General features: G+C 46.7%; 2 protein-coding genes across 8 annotated transcripts in view, besides 8 other annotated features; one reads left to right on the top strand and one right to left on the bottom strand.

Moving 5' to 3' along the window:
• SMAGP (small cell adhesion glycoprotein) overlaps positions 1 to 6506 on the top strand; it is a 25858-nt gene extending 19352 nt beyond the window's left edge. The window contains exons 3-4 of one of the 2 annotated variants that reach the window (NM_001031628.2): positions 4233 to 4313; positions 4945 to 6506. In NM_001031628.2, the coding sequence (NP_001026798.1) occupies positions 4233 to 4313; positions 4945 to 5123 (260 nt within the window). In that variant the 3' untranslated portion in view covers positions 5124 to 6506. The remainder of the gene's footprint in view (positions 1 to 4232; positions 4314 to 4944) is intronic. The other variant, NM_001033873.1, reaches the window with a different exon arrangement.
• Positions 2112 to 2613: an enhancer, noted in NCBI's record as "H3K27ac-H3K4me1 hESC enhancer chr12:51642235-51642736 (GRCh37/hg19 assembly coordinates)". NCBI's record gives its function as "activates a minimal SCP1, AML or CMV promoter by ChIP-STARR-seq in naive H9 embryonic stem cells {active_cell/tissue: H9 hESC(naive)}" and the evidence as "EXISTENCE:reporter gene assay evidence [ECO:0000049][PMID:30033119]".
• Positions 2614 to 3113: an enhancer, noted in NCBI's record as "H3K27ac-H3K4me1 hESC enhancer chr12:51641735-51642234 (GRCh37/hg19 assembly coordinates)". NCBI's record gives its function as "activates a minimal SCP1, AML or CMV promoter by ChIP-STARR-seq in naive H9 embryonic stem cells {active_cell/tissue: H9 hESC(naive)}" and the evidence as "EXISTENCE:reporter gene assay evidence [ECO:0000049][PMID:30033119]".
• Positions 3114 to 3615: an enhancer, noted in NCBI's record as "H3K27ac-H3K4me1 hESC enhancer chr12:51641233-51641734 (GRCh37/hg19 assembly coordinates)". NCBI's record gives its function as "activates a minimal SCP1, AML or CMV promoter by ChIP-STARR-seq in primed H9 embryonic stem cells {active_cell/tissue: H9 hESC(primed)}" and the evidence as "EXISTENCE:reporter gene assay evidence [ECO:0000049][PMID:30033119]".
• On the bottom strand, positions 4347 to 12238 carry DAZAP2 (DAZ associated protein 2). Of its 6 annotated transcripts, NM_001136264.2 has the most exons (5): positions 12144 to 12238; positions 10603 to 10721; positions 10135 to 10193; positions 9948 to 10068; positions 7131 to 8734 (listed from the first exon to the last, which is right to left on the bottom strand). In NM_001136264.2, exons 1-5 carry the CDS (start codon positions 12154 to 12156, stop codon positions 8606 to 8608), a joined length of 441 nt encoding a protein of 146 aa, NP_001129736.1. In that variant the 5' UTR covers positions 12157 to 12238; the 3' UTR covers positions 7131 to 8605. The 6 variants fall into 6 exon arrangements, with proteins under 6 accessions (NP_001129741.1, NP_001129736.1, NP_055579.1 ...); NM_001136269.2 differs by lacking the exon at positions 7131 to 8734 and adding an exon at positions 4347 to 5003 and having other exon boundaries at positions 9948 to 10193; NM_014764.4 differs by having other exon boundaries at positions 9948 to 10193.
• Positions 10639 to 11275: an enhancer, noted in NCBI's record as "H3K27ac hESC enhancer chr12:51633573-51634209 (GRCh37/hg19 assembly coordinates)". NCBI's record gives its function as "activates a minimal SCP1, AML or CMV promoter by ChIP-STARR-seq in primed H9 embryonic stem cells {active_cell/tissue: H9 hESC(primed)}" and the evidence as "EXISTENCE:reporter gene assay evidence [ECO:0000049][PMID:30033119]".
• Positions 11992 to 12241: an enhancer, noted in NCBI's record as "active region_6374". NCBI's record gives its function as "activates an Ori minimal core promoter by ATAC-STARR-seq in GM12878 lymphoblastoid cells {active_cell/tissue: GM12878}" and the evidence as "EXISTENCE:reporter gene assay evidence [ECO:0000049][PMID:35858748]".
• Positions 11992 to 12459: a biological region, named in NCBI's record as "Sharpr-MPRA regulatory region 9853".
• Positions 12165 to 12459: an enhancer, noted in NCBI's record as "tiled region #9853; HepG2 Activating DNase matched - State 1:Tss, and K562 Activating DNase unmatched - State 1:Tss". NCBI's record gives its function as "activates a minimal TATA promoter and a strong SV40 promoter by Sharpr-MPRA in HepG2 and K562 cells {active_cell/tissue: HepG2 | K562}" and the evidence as "EXISTENCE:reporter gene assay evidence [ECO:0000049][PMID:27701403]".
• Positions 12332 to 12441: a silencer, noted in NCBI's record as "silent region_4463". NCBI's record gives its function as "represses an Ori minimal core promoter by ATAC-STARR-seq in GM12878 lymphoblastoid cells {active_cell/tissue: GM12878}" and the evidence as "EXISTENCE:reporter gene assay evidence [ECO:0000049][PMID:35858748]".

Here is a 12459-nt window from a genome sequence, read left to right as displayed (position 1 = left end):
TACATCCTAAATTCTCAAAATGTTTAAAGAAAGCAAAACTAGGAACAACTGTATAGAACTCTAGATCCATGGTAGGAAGATGGATTGCAGCCCTGGGCGATTTGGGGAGGAAAGTGCATGGTGAAATGTGTGAAGTCATGACCAGGTAGATAAACTTCAGGGCTTCCCTTTGATGGGAGTCACAGTGTTGTATAACCTAATCTCAGAAGTTACATGCCATCATTTTTGCCATCATCTGTTAAAAGCAAGTCACCAGGTTCAACCCATATACCAGAGGAGAGGCATGCTCAAAGATGTCAATACCAGGAGGCAGAAATCATTGTGAGCCATCTTAGAAGCTGTACACCACACTCCCATTTCACAAATCAAGAAACTGAGGTACTGCCAGGTGTGGTGGCACACGCTTATAATCCCAGCATTTTGGGAGGCCAAGGCAGGAAGATTGCTTGAGGTCAGGAGGTTGAGGCCGCAGTGAGCCAAGATTGCACCATTGCACTCCAGCCTGAGCAACATAGTGAGATCCTTGTCTCAACAACAACAACAAAAAAAAAACAAAAAAAAAACACAACAACAACAACAACCAGGTTCAGAGAGGTTTAGTAACTTCCTCAAGGTCACCTAGTAATATGCTTAGGCAGGATTCAAACCCAGAGCAACTCTCCCTTTAATTAATTTATTTTTTTGAGACAGGGTCTCATTACTCTGTTGCCCAACAATTCAGTAATGCAGTGCTGGCTCATTGCAGGCTTAACCCCCTGGGCTCAAGCAATCTTCCCACTTCAGCCTCATGAGTATCTGGGACTACAGGCGCATATTACCACACCTGGCTAATTTTTACATTTTTTTTTTTTTTTTTTTTGTAGACAGAGTCTTACTGTGTTGCCCAGGCTGGTCTCAAACTCCTGGCCTCAAGCGATCTTCCCACCTTGGTCTCCCAAAGTGCTGGGATTACAGGCATGAGCCACCATGCCTGGCCCTTTTAATCACTAAGCATATTAACAAAGTCACCTTAAATAATATTTAAGTAGTAGCTACTATATGATGTTTACATGTTCTCTCATTTAATCTTCATAATAGAACTGCAATGTTGGTTAATATAGTTCCTGTGGGTAACAGATGAGAATGGATGAATGAATCCATATGTATAGGCGAGGCACAGTGGCTCACACCTGTAATCCCAGCACTTTGGGAGGCCGAGGCAGGTGGATCACTCGAGGCCAGGAGTTCGAGACCAGCCTGGCCAACATGGTGAAACCCTGTCTCTACTGAAAATACAAAAATTAACTGGGCATGGTGGCACACACCTGTAATCCCAGCTACTCAGGAGGCTGAGGCAGAAGAATCGCTTGAGCCAGGAGGTGGAAGTTGCAGTGAGCCGAGATTGCGCCACTGCACTCCAGCCTGGGCAATGGAGCAAGACTCCATCTTAAAAAAAAAAAATGTATAACTGTTCTAGACAAACTCTAAAACCATTTTTCCTCAGCTCTCACAACAGTTGACACAGAAGACTTCTGTGACCCCAAAATATTTGAGAATTTCTCTGCACCAGCAAGCAAGCAAGCAGTTCCACAGCAGACACCAAGAGGGTGTCTTCCAATTCAATTCTGACACTATCTACCTAGAGATAGTGTCAGATACCACAGGCCAAGGTCTGGGCCCCCAAGGCTGCAGCTCCCTTCAGACACTAGTCACAAGTCCAGGCTCCAAAACTTGTGACCAACCAGCTTCAAGTTGGAGTTCCCACCCCTGCCAACCCCTGCTTTGGAGTTCAATTAATTTGCTGGAGTAGCTCACAGAACTCAGGGAAACAATGTGTTTACTGGTTTATTATAAAGGACATTGCAAAGGATACAAATGAGGACATGTGTAGGGTGAGGTGTGGGGAGGGGGGCGGAGCTTCCACGCCCTCCCTGGTGCGTCACCCTCCGGGAACTTCTGCATGTTCAGCTAGTTGTTTTTGGGGTTTTGTTTTTGTTTTTGTTTTTGGATGGGGTCTCATTCTATCCCCCAGGTTGGAGTTCAGTGGCGCGATCTCAGCTCACTGCGACCTCCACCTCCTGGGCTCAAGCGATTCTCATTCCTCAGCCTCCCAAGTAGCTGGGATTACAGGTGCACACCACCATACTTGGCTATTTTTTTTTTTTTTTTTTTTTTTTTTTTTTTGTGGTATTTTTGGTAGAGACAGGATTTCGCCATGTTTCCCAGGCTGGTCTCAAATTCCTGGGCTCAGGAAATCACCCACCCTGGCCTCCCAAAGGGCTGGGATTACAGGCATGAGCCACCATGTCCAGCCATGTTCAACTATGCGGAAGCTTTCTGAGGCCAGTCCTCTTGGGTTTTTAATGGAAGCTTCATGATGTCAGCATTCCCTTCCCAAATTCTCCCTCTGGAATGAGGATCTTATGACCCACTATGGGAAAGGCAGAGGAAGATTAGAGTCCTGCCTTGGGGCAGGTGAAGGGAAGGGCAGGAGAAGGCTGGAGAGATGCTGTTTCCTGAGGCCCGCTCCTGCGGTGTGACACACCCACATCATAACACAAGGCTAACGGGCTGTGGGAATTAGGAGCCAGGAACTGGATGAAAACCTAGAGAGAGAGAGAGAGAGAGAGAGAGAGAGAGAGAGAGAGAGTGTGTGTGTGTGTGTGTGTGTGTGTGTGTGTGTGTAAAACACCACAGTAACCATTCGCCCAAGGCCAGAGTGGTTGAGGGTACTACCATTCCTAGACAAAGAGGGGACCAGAGAGAAAGGTTTGGCCTGGCCTTGGGAGAGGAAGCGCTCTGGACAGCCTGCCTCTGCTTTCTGTATTGCAAGATGAGGATGGTTCATCAGGCTCCCCTGGGCCCGCGTGGAAAGACCCTTCAACACTCTTGGCCCCTCTTAGCATAGGCCCACCAGACCACCACTGATACCCTCATTTCACTTGCTGTGGATGGAAACCTGAACGTGTCAGGCACTGGACGGGAGTCATGCTCACACCGCGCTCGGGCCACGCTGGCCTTTGAGTCCCCTGGTCTCAGAGCTTTGACCCAGGCTCTTCTCTCTGCCTAGAATGTGCCCCATCCCTGTTACCCGGTAAACTCTTACCCCTGCTTCAGCTCCCAGGTCAGATATTCCTCCCTTGGGGGGTCGCTTCTGGCTGGAAGACTAGATCAGGCCCCTCGGCTGCACACTTTCCTAAGTGCACTTACAGCAGCTCCTCACCGTGCAAGCTGTGGGGTGCAGTGGAGGGTGAGCCTCGGGAAGCTGGCCGTGTCTGTTTTGCTCGACCTTTCATCTAGCACAGGGCCTAGCAAAGAGGAGGCAGTGGGTGAGTGTTGCTGTTTATGGGATGCCAGTCAGGTCGGGGTGCCTCCTGTGGGTGTTGCCAGGATCAGCCAGCTGGTTTTCCCCAGGAGACCTCTATCCTGCAGTAACCTCTACATTAAAATGCTAATAGGAAAGAATGGAAGGGCTTCCTGACTTCCTGTGTAAACACTTAAAAGGGACTTCTGGAGACCACTCATTTTGTCATGTTCTGTCCCTGGGTAATGACTTTAGGGTGGGACTTTCACGCTCTGAAGGATAAATAAACCCGTAGCAGGAGGGGGTGCAGGATCTATTTTAGGGTAGAGGAGAGGCCTGTTTCAGAACCTTTCAAATTGCAGGGCCTATCCTGGAAGTGTAGAAAAGGGTTTTTAATAGGAGAGGAGCACTATTTCATTATGTTAAAATAATGTTTACAAAGAATTAGTAAGAATGCTGCAAGAAAATGCACATGCTATATAATATAATGTAAATATATACACATACAACTCATTTGATCTCACTTATTGTAAAAATATGCATTCCTAATAATGGCTTATCCTACTGAGTGACTTATTAAATGTCACAACAACGTTTTAAAGTAGGTACTCTTACCTCCATTTTGCAGATAGAGGTTAGGTAATTTTCCCAAGGTCACACAGCTAGTAAAGGACAGAGTTCATATTTGAAACCCAGTCTGTCAGGCTCTATAGCCCCTACTCTTAATCACTATATTATGCAGGGAGAAATCCATCAACATATTGTCTTTGGGTGGTGGTTTATTTTCTTCTTTATTCTCTAGGATTTTCTATTTGGATATACTCTAGGAGTTAAATGATAAACTTTTGAATAGGGAAGAAGGTGGGGTGGTGAAATTTGAAGGCCAAACATATGCTTTCAAACAAAAGAATTCACTCCATTTCCTTTTCCACTTTTCTACATTTTCCAGAAGAACTGATGACCACCCCAATTTTACAGCCCACTGAGGCCCTGTCCCCAGAAGATGGAGCCAGCACAGCACTCATTGCAGGTAATAGACTCTGAGCCAACTCCAAGGGACCTTCTGGATCAAGGGCATCTCTCTCCAGAGGGAGCCTGACCAAATCCATTAATGGGCTCACTCTGGCTTGTAAGTTATATTACACACACACACACACACACACACACACACACACAGCCATAAAAGACTCGGAGGCTTCTGTCAGAGGCACTACCAGTAAATGACAGGTTGGGAGGTGGCCGCAAATAGATATGCATACGGACGTTACACTTGAGTACGTGGGTAGGGACGAGGATATATGTGGTTGGTTGAGTGGGTGAGGAAGAGGGGGAGGATCAGATAAACCACTTCCTGTTAGGATAAGCCATTTCCTGTTCCCTCCTTCCCGTTTCTTTAAGAATCAGGAACTGGTTTGGGAGGCAGTTCAGTTTTGTCAGAAATCAAAAGCATGTGTCCTTAGCTTAAGCACCAGGAGACTCCAGCTATTATGTGCCATGGAAATTGGGGTTGGTGGGGGAACATGGGTTTGGATGGAAGTGGACACTAGTTAATGAAAACAAGAGGATCTTTACGAAAACAGTGACTAAATCAGATGACTCCAGGAACTACTGAGACATCCTCAATCCTGAAACATCTCTACATTTTCCCTCTCCTTTCCAAGTTGTTATCACCGTTGTCTTCCTCACCCTGCTCTCGGTCGTGATCTTGATCTTCTTTTACCTGTACAAGAACAAAGGCAGCTACGTCACCTATGAACCTACAGAAGGTGAGCCCAGTGCCATCGTCCAGATGGAGAGTGACTTGGCCAAGGGCAGCGAGAAAGAGGAATATTTCATCTAATGACTCCCAGGCCCCAAGGAGCTTATTCCTGGCTCCATCGCTAACACGTTGACTGCTTATTATGGGAAAGTTTTCTCTGAAGCCAGGGAGAAGCATTGATTGATGTGGGCAAATCCAAGCTCCAGCCAGGTCGCAGTCCCAAATGCCGACATCACTGACTCCAGGGACCAGGGACATGGAGAAAGCTGTTTATGATATCTTTAACCAGGCCCTCTTACTAGAGCTGGTGTTTGTGACTGGCCAACAAGATGTGGCTATGCCAGGGGACATCTGAGTATGTGCCCAGTCATCTTTTTTCACAGGTTGAAGGGAGAGAAAAGATTTTGAGTTAAGGTCATTGGCTGCTCTACTCTGTCCCCTACCTGGTCACCTAGTGATAGCCCCAGTGGAGATACTGTCCATACAAGGTCTTCCCAGAGGCTGGATACCACAGTAAAAGGCCAGGCCAGGAGGGGTAGGAGACTATGGAGATCTTACCTCCTGATAAATGTGCTACACCCCCTAATCTGAGCCCTTCCTTTCCGTGTTCCCCAACAACCTCATGCTTACGTGATTTTTATTCAAATTAAAAATTTTCATTGCTACAGAAATCAGATTCTCATGTGCAAGAAGTAACTACATTTTGACTTATTTTTGCTTAAACATTTTTGACATTTTCTTTTCCCTATTTAACGCCTTTACATATGTTCTCTTCCAAGCAATAAGAACCCTAGGAAAGTTCTAGAAGTTTGCAGAACTATCTCAGGGATTTGAGACAAAGATGGTGCAGGAAAGCTTGTTCCAGGGGAACATCATTAGAAACATACCCTGGGAGGGCCGGGTTCGGTGGCTCACGCCTGTGATCCCAGCACTTTGGGAGGCCGAGGCAGGCGGATCACAAGGTTAGGAGATCGAGACCATCCTGGCTAACACGGTGAAACCCCGTCTCTACTAAAAATATATAAAAAAAATAGCTGGGCGTGGTGGCGGGCGCCCATAGTCCCAGCTGCTTGGGAGGCTGAGGCAGGAGAATGGCTTGAACCCAGGAGGCGGAGCTTGCAGTGAGCTGAGATTGCACCACTATACTCCAGCCTGGGCAACAGAGTGAGACTCCGTCTCAAAAAAAAAAAAAAAAAAAAAAGTACCCTGGGAGATGAGTTGGTTCAAGCCTCCATCCTGGCAAGGGCCAGAATTTCCCAGAATCCCTTCTACATATATACAGAAGGAACCAGAAAAAATCAACCTACCACCTTTCCCAGTGTATCCTCAGAATCAAGCCAAGAAGCTTCTTGGATTTTAGTCTCAAGATAAGTTGTGTTTAAAAGGCACATTTTGGTATAAATTATTAGCTCATCAGATATTGTTCACTTTGGAATTAAAGCTAGATCTCCTTTGAAGTCTTAATGTATTGCCTCTGTTGTCCAAGCTCAAACCCAACCAAGTTAAGATCAAGAGCTGAGGAATCTGGCTGGGTGCAGTGACTCACTGCCTGTTATCCCAATACTTTGGGAGGCTGAGGCAGACAGATCACTTGAGGTCAGGAGTTTGAGACCAGCGTGGCCAACGCAGTGAAGCCGTCTCTACTAAAAGTACAGAAATGAACCAGGTGTTGTAGCAGGTGCCTGTAATCCCAGCTACTCAGGAGGCTGAGACAGGAGAATCACTTGAACCCGGGAGGTGGAGGTTGCAGTGAGCAGACACTGCCACTGCACTCCAGCCCGGGTGACAGAGGGAGACCCTGTCTCAAAAAATAAATAAAAGAGCTGAGGAATCTATCTTGGCAACCTAGATTCTATGAGTTTTCAGTATTTCTCCACATAGAACATTGGAGAAACTAAAGGTCATCCTCAACGTATACAAATTGCTATACCAGAACCTTTTCTTCAAGCCAAACTTTAGAGCAAGTTAGGAGAATCAATAGTTCCCTCATTTCTAAGTTTAGGTCCGAAATTCCAAAATTTGTAAGAGGTTGGAGTAAAATGATGAAAAGTTGAACATCTGGAATGGAATTCATGAAATGATCAAGTCTTAGGCTTGTACTCCTGCCTTTATTTCAAAGCGTCATCAAAGGAAACAGAGCAGCAGCAGCACCTAGCTGAATTCTAGATGGGATATAAATAAAATATATATAGAAGAAATCTAAAAACAAGCTAAGTAAAGAATCCTTGCAGTGAGGTGTAATGCAACTTCATCACTTTATTCAAATCTTCAAAATAGTCTTTATTCTACATTTTTAGTATAAAAATTCCACAAGTTAAGTGCACCACAGTGTAGAGAGAGACATACAACGCTGAACTTCCATAACAGTCAATGGTACAGTCAAACATCACATGTACAGAACACACAATTTAGATGAACTGAAATTATAAGATAAAATAAAATAAAATCCAATTTCAGAAAACAAAAATCAAAACATTAAGGATCCCTGAAATATTCTTAAACCCTAATGAGATTTCACTGGACTCAAGTCATTTTGTAGTGAGACATTCACAATATGACCCTATTAACCCAGTCTAGGAATTCTGGGGAGCCGAATGAGTGGCCGCATCAGACACTCTGACAAAAAATGGTAACCAGTTTTTGATCTGAAAACTCCTCTTAATTTAGCTCTGAACACATCAATCAAGCTTTTGAAATGCATCCTCCTCCTTGCCCCTCATATTTTAAACCAACTGTTGTTCACAGTACAGTTTGCACGACATCTTTGTTCAAACATAGCTCAGTTTTTCTGGCACCAAAGCAAATTTGGGTTAGGTTCGTGTATGCAGAGACAACCTATGAGGAGGGCCCATAAGGCACCCTCCACTTTTGCCTGAGGAGATACGAAAGCAGAAGTAATGGCATCTGTACTTGGGGCACAGAGAGGGTTTCAGAGGATCCTTGTGAAACACTAGTTAAAAGATGACGAGTGGGGAGAAGTGCGAGGAAAGAAGGAAATTAGTCTGACTGGCTTTCTGTCCTGCACCATTGATTCAATGGAGACTGGCGGGAGGAAATGGAAGACTAGGGTTGGAGATGGGATGGGTGGGGCAAGGGATGGAAAGGAAAAGGCAGACAACTAATGCGTTCCATTTATAACAAGTAATATATATCAAAGACTTAAAGGAGATTAAAGACCAATCAGAATAATTTGGCAACTTTAATTCTTAGGAAGATCAAAGTTCCCTCCAAACCTAATTTGATGTTTTATTACTAAAAGCAAAGACCAGTATGGTACAGTATTACTCCAGAGAAATTAAAGGAAAATCCTTAGGGCGGCTTCACCCACATTCATTTTATGAATGGATACCTCCCCTACCTCAAAATGCTTTAGGGAGGTACTGCTACCATTACATGGTTCCTTATTAAATTTGAAAAGTGCCTGAAAGTTTGGGCACCAGAAAGACACCCCAACAACATGTGTCTAAACTGCAACTTCAGGTTAATATGACTAAAGCAGTTACATTGTGAGAAGTGCTGAAGGTATGTGATGTCTTTCCCGGCACAGAGGTGGCCTTGGTTCCTCACCAGATGGTGTAGCCACCATCTGAACCACCCATGAAGAAGTTCCCCTTCCGCTGAGTTACGAGGACGTTGGCTCCCTGCATGACTGCAAGCTGAGCAGCATTGGGAGGGCATCCAGGAGGTGGAGGCTGAAAGGAAATGACATGATAGAATGGGCACAGGGCAGCTAATATAAGCGAAGGGGACATAGGGGAAGCAGAGGCCTGTTAGGATGAGGCAATGTGCTAACCAGCTGCGTTTTAAGGAGCTAGTTCCGCCACCAATTTGAGTTCTAAAGTAGGTCTATACTTTATGTGAACCCAAAGATACAAACAGGAAAGGGAGCCTACCACTCATTCAAAGGGTTCCAGCTCTAAGATGAAGCCTATGGCTACCTTCTGAACATGAACAGACCAGACCAACAGTCATTTTGAGGGTAGAGAACCACTGTCCTACTCACATTCCCAAAACAGGGACAGGGTGCCAGTCCATGTATGAATCCCACATGGTCCCTACATAGTTTTTAATTTTTAATTTTTTTTTTTTTTAATTTTTTTGAGATAGAGTCTTGCTCTTGTCGCCCAGGCTGGAGTGCAGTGGTGGGATCTCAGCTCACTGCAACCTCCACCTCCCAGGTTCAAGTGATTCTCCTGTCTTAGCCTCCCAAGTAGCTGGGATTACAGACGCCTGCCACCATGCCCGGCTAATTTTTGTATTTATAGTAGAGTCGGGGTTTCACCATGTTGGCCAGCCTGGTCTCAAACTCCTGACCTCAGGTGAGCCACCGTGCTTCGCCCTTACACAGTTTTTGAATGAACTACTGGAAAACTGAAGGCTCGCTAATGACACATTCACTTCATCTCTAGCATGTAGTTACTGAGCAGTCATTTGAGCTCTAAATCCCACGCACTGGGGAATTAAGTAGGAAAAAATGATAACTAAAATTGTTAATATCTTTCTAAAAGCTACTTACTAGGGATTATACATTCTACTTTTTTAATTATCAGGGTTCCTAGTGCAACACCATGCTGATGGCAAATATTAAGTAAATGGTAAATGCTTATGGAATGAATAAGGAGCATTACTAGACCAGTTCAGTGTACCACAATGAACTGGAAAAGCAGCAAGCAGGACTCGACAGACATGAAAACAAAAGAATCTGGTTAACTCAGCCCCCAGTGAGATGCTACTCACTTGCCACAGTTCTGCCCCCTCAAACACTTTCTGCCTGAGTATTGGATGTCAGTAGTTGTACCAACACTGGCAACTATCATCCAGAAATGGTAAGAGAATGAATATGAAGTCATTTCAGAAAGTTAAAATACACAAGGGCTGAGTTTCTTCTGATGAGGTCATACTCACAGGAATGTTGCCAGCAGTAGCCCCAGCTCCAAATCTGGCACCTGCATCATACCCTCCTTCCACCAGCACTGTGGAGCCAGGTGGATAGATGGGACCGACTGGATAATAAGCCATGGGGATTGTGGAACCTAAAGGCCCAACAGCCACAGACTGGGCCATGGGAAGATACAGAGAGGCTCCAGGAAATGCGGCTGACATGGTGGGGACTGTGGCAGCCCCTGGGTGCACAAAGCTCGGACGATAGAGCTAGAAGAGGCAGAAGAGAAGGCAAAATGTTACTTTATGACATTCCTATTTGAGATCTCTTTAATGAGCTAATTCTTAATTCTCCTTATGCAGGTTATACTTTTTGTAAGATTATACAAGTTGCCTTTCCACTGGCCTTCAATATTCTCCTGGATCACTTTCTGCTATAGCTAATGTTGGGCTCACAGAACGCAAATTCATCTTCTGCACCTTAGCCTGTGCCAAATAACACAAAATCATCAAATAATGCACTTTCAACTCCGACAAAAATTGCCAAATTATATAGTGTTTTAGATTATTCATGTTAGCATTTGTGAAGAGTAAATATGTGAAGTCAGATTTAGCTAAGGACTAAAGGACCACCCTAAGAGTATTCCCAGCTAGTTCAAATCTGGCAAACTGGAAGCACCTCTGAGTAGGCAGGTGGAGCATCGGTATAGGGTGGAGCCTGAGGAAGATGCAAGGTCTGAGGGTATACTGGATTCCCAGGAGGCTGCACAGGGTAGGTTGGCTGTGTTGGATATTGACCTGAAAGACAAGAAAAAAATGAAGGTTGCCTACTACACAGAGCTACCAAAATGAGGCAGGTCATATCGGGTAGCTAACTTAGTGGGAGCAAGCAGAAGGGGATTTGCAAATAGTCTGCCCCAGAGGGCCTGATTCCTGGAACTAAGAAAATATGCATTGTCTTTGCACCCTTAAAATGGAAGGTGCTGGATTCTAACGAGACAAGAAAGGCACTGCTCACTGCTCCTACTAACATACCGAAGTAAGGGGTTAAGTCTACCTGGGCCCAAGTTCCCTCCGGAATGCAGGACAGGTCTGGGGTTCTGGCCTGCTGCTGTTCTGGCTTATCAAGGGTGCCTCTGCTCTAGGTAGTCTCCACAGCCTGTCTACAACCAGCCCAGACTTCGTGGGTAACAGCAGTTCTGATTTTCCTTACAGATTACTATTCAAGGTCGACTTCCAAACAAAGGGTGTGAATGATGGAAGTGAACCGTGAGACTGGGAAAAGGGTGCAGGGCTGAGGGGTGAGGAGGAATATCCTCACTGGAAAAGCGGGGGATCAGGTTTGGTTTTTTGTTTGTTCTGAGACGGAGTCTCGCTCTTTTGCCCAGGCTGGAGTGCAGTGGCGCGATCTCGGCTCACTGCAACCTCCGTCTCCTGGGTTCAAGCAATTCTCCTACCCCAGCCTCCCGAGTAGCTGGGATTACAGGCGCCCGCCACCACGCCCAGCTGATTTTTGTATTTTTTAATAGAGACGGGGTTTCACCACGTTGGCCAGGCTGGTCTCGAACTCTTGACCTCAGGTGATCCGCCCGCCTCGACCTCCCAAACTGCTGGGATTACAGGCGTGAGCAACCTCGCTCGGCCTTTTTTTTTTTTTTTTTTCTATTCCTTTTTTACCCCCTCAACCTATTCCTGCGTTATGGGAATCATGTTCCGACAGACACACTGGTACAACCACAGAAAAGGGGAGAAGTTCTGATCCCGTCAGCGAAGGGCGAGGGGGTGCGAAGGGAAGGAAAAGAGACCTCACAGGCCCCGGCCCACGAACCAACTCCAGCAATTCAGTAGTTAAGTTCGGCCCCGCTGGGGGTTCCGGAGCGCGGCGCCCCGCCTCCGCCGGCTCTCCATTGGCCTACGCGAATGCCTGCGCTAGCGCTCTATTTGCTCCTGCGGATGCCCATCATGTCAAGCCCCCCCACCACCCGAGCCCGCAGCTCCAAACTGCGCCACAGAGTTTACGGAGGAAAGGGCCTGGAGGCAGCAAGCTGCCGTAATTTGGGTATGACGAAGGCGTCAGGCGCAGCGCCCTGGACTGCAGCCGGCCAAGGAGCATGGCGCAGCCCACCCCAAACCTGGCGTTTGGTGACCCTGGGCTCCGAATCCGCTCGCTCTGGGCCAGCAGTACTCCCCCCGACGGCCTCTGCCACCCTCGGTCCTTGCCTTTGCTGTTCATGGTGGTTGCGGGTCCGGTTTGTCTCGGCGTCGCGGACGGTTATTTTTTTCGTCCTCTTCCTGTTCGGAGCTACTTCCGTGTCACATGATGGTCCGTCCGCCTAGCGTCACCCGACGCCCGAGTGGCGCTGCCGCCGGAAACTCCGCCCCTGCTCCGGGCCTCCAGTCGGCCGCGGGAGGGTCCGCGCGGTCCCGCCCACTCGCCTTGGCCCCACCCCCTGCTCGTTTCTGTCCTCCCCCCCCCTACCGGTGTCCCTCAGCTGGAGAAAAACCAAATGCAGGTATTGTCTGGAAACAGGATCTT

This window comes from Homo sapiens, chromosome 12 (genome assembly GCF_000001405.40).
Source record: "Homo sapiens chromosome 12, GRCh38.p14 Primary Assembly".
NCBI lineage: Eukaryota > Metazoa > Chordata > Mammalia > Primates > Hominidae > Homo > Homo sapiens.
The sequence above is the reverse complement of the archived record's forward strand: the minus strand, read 5'-3'. Positions and strand labels throughout refer to the sequence as shown.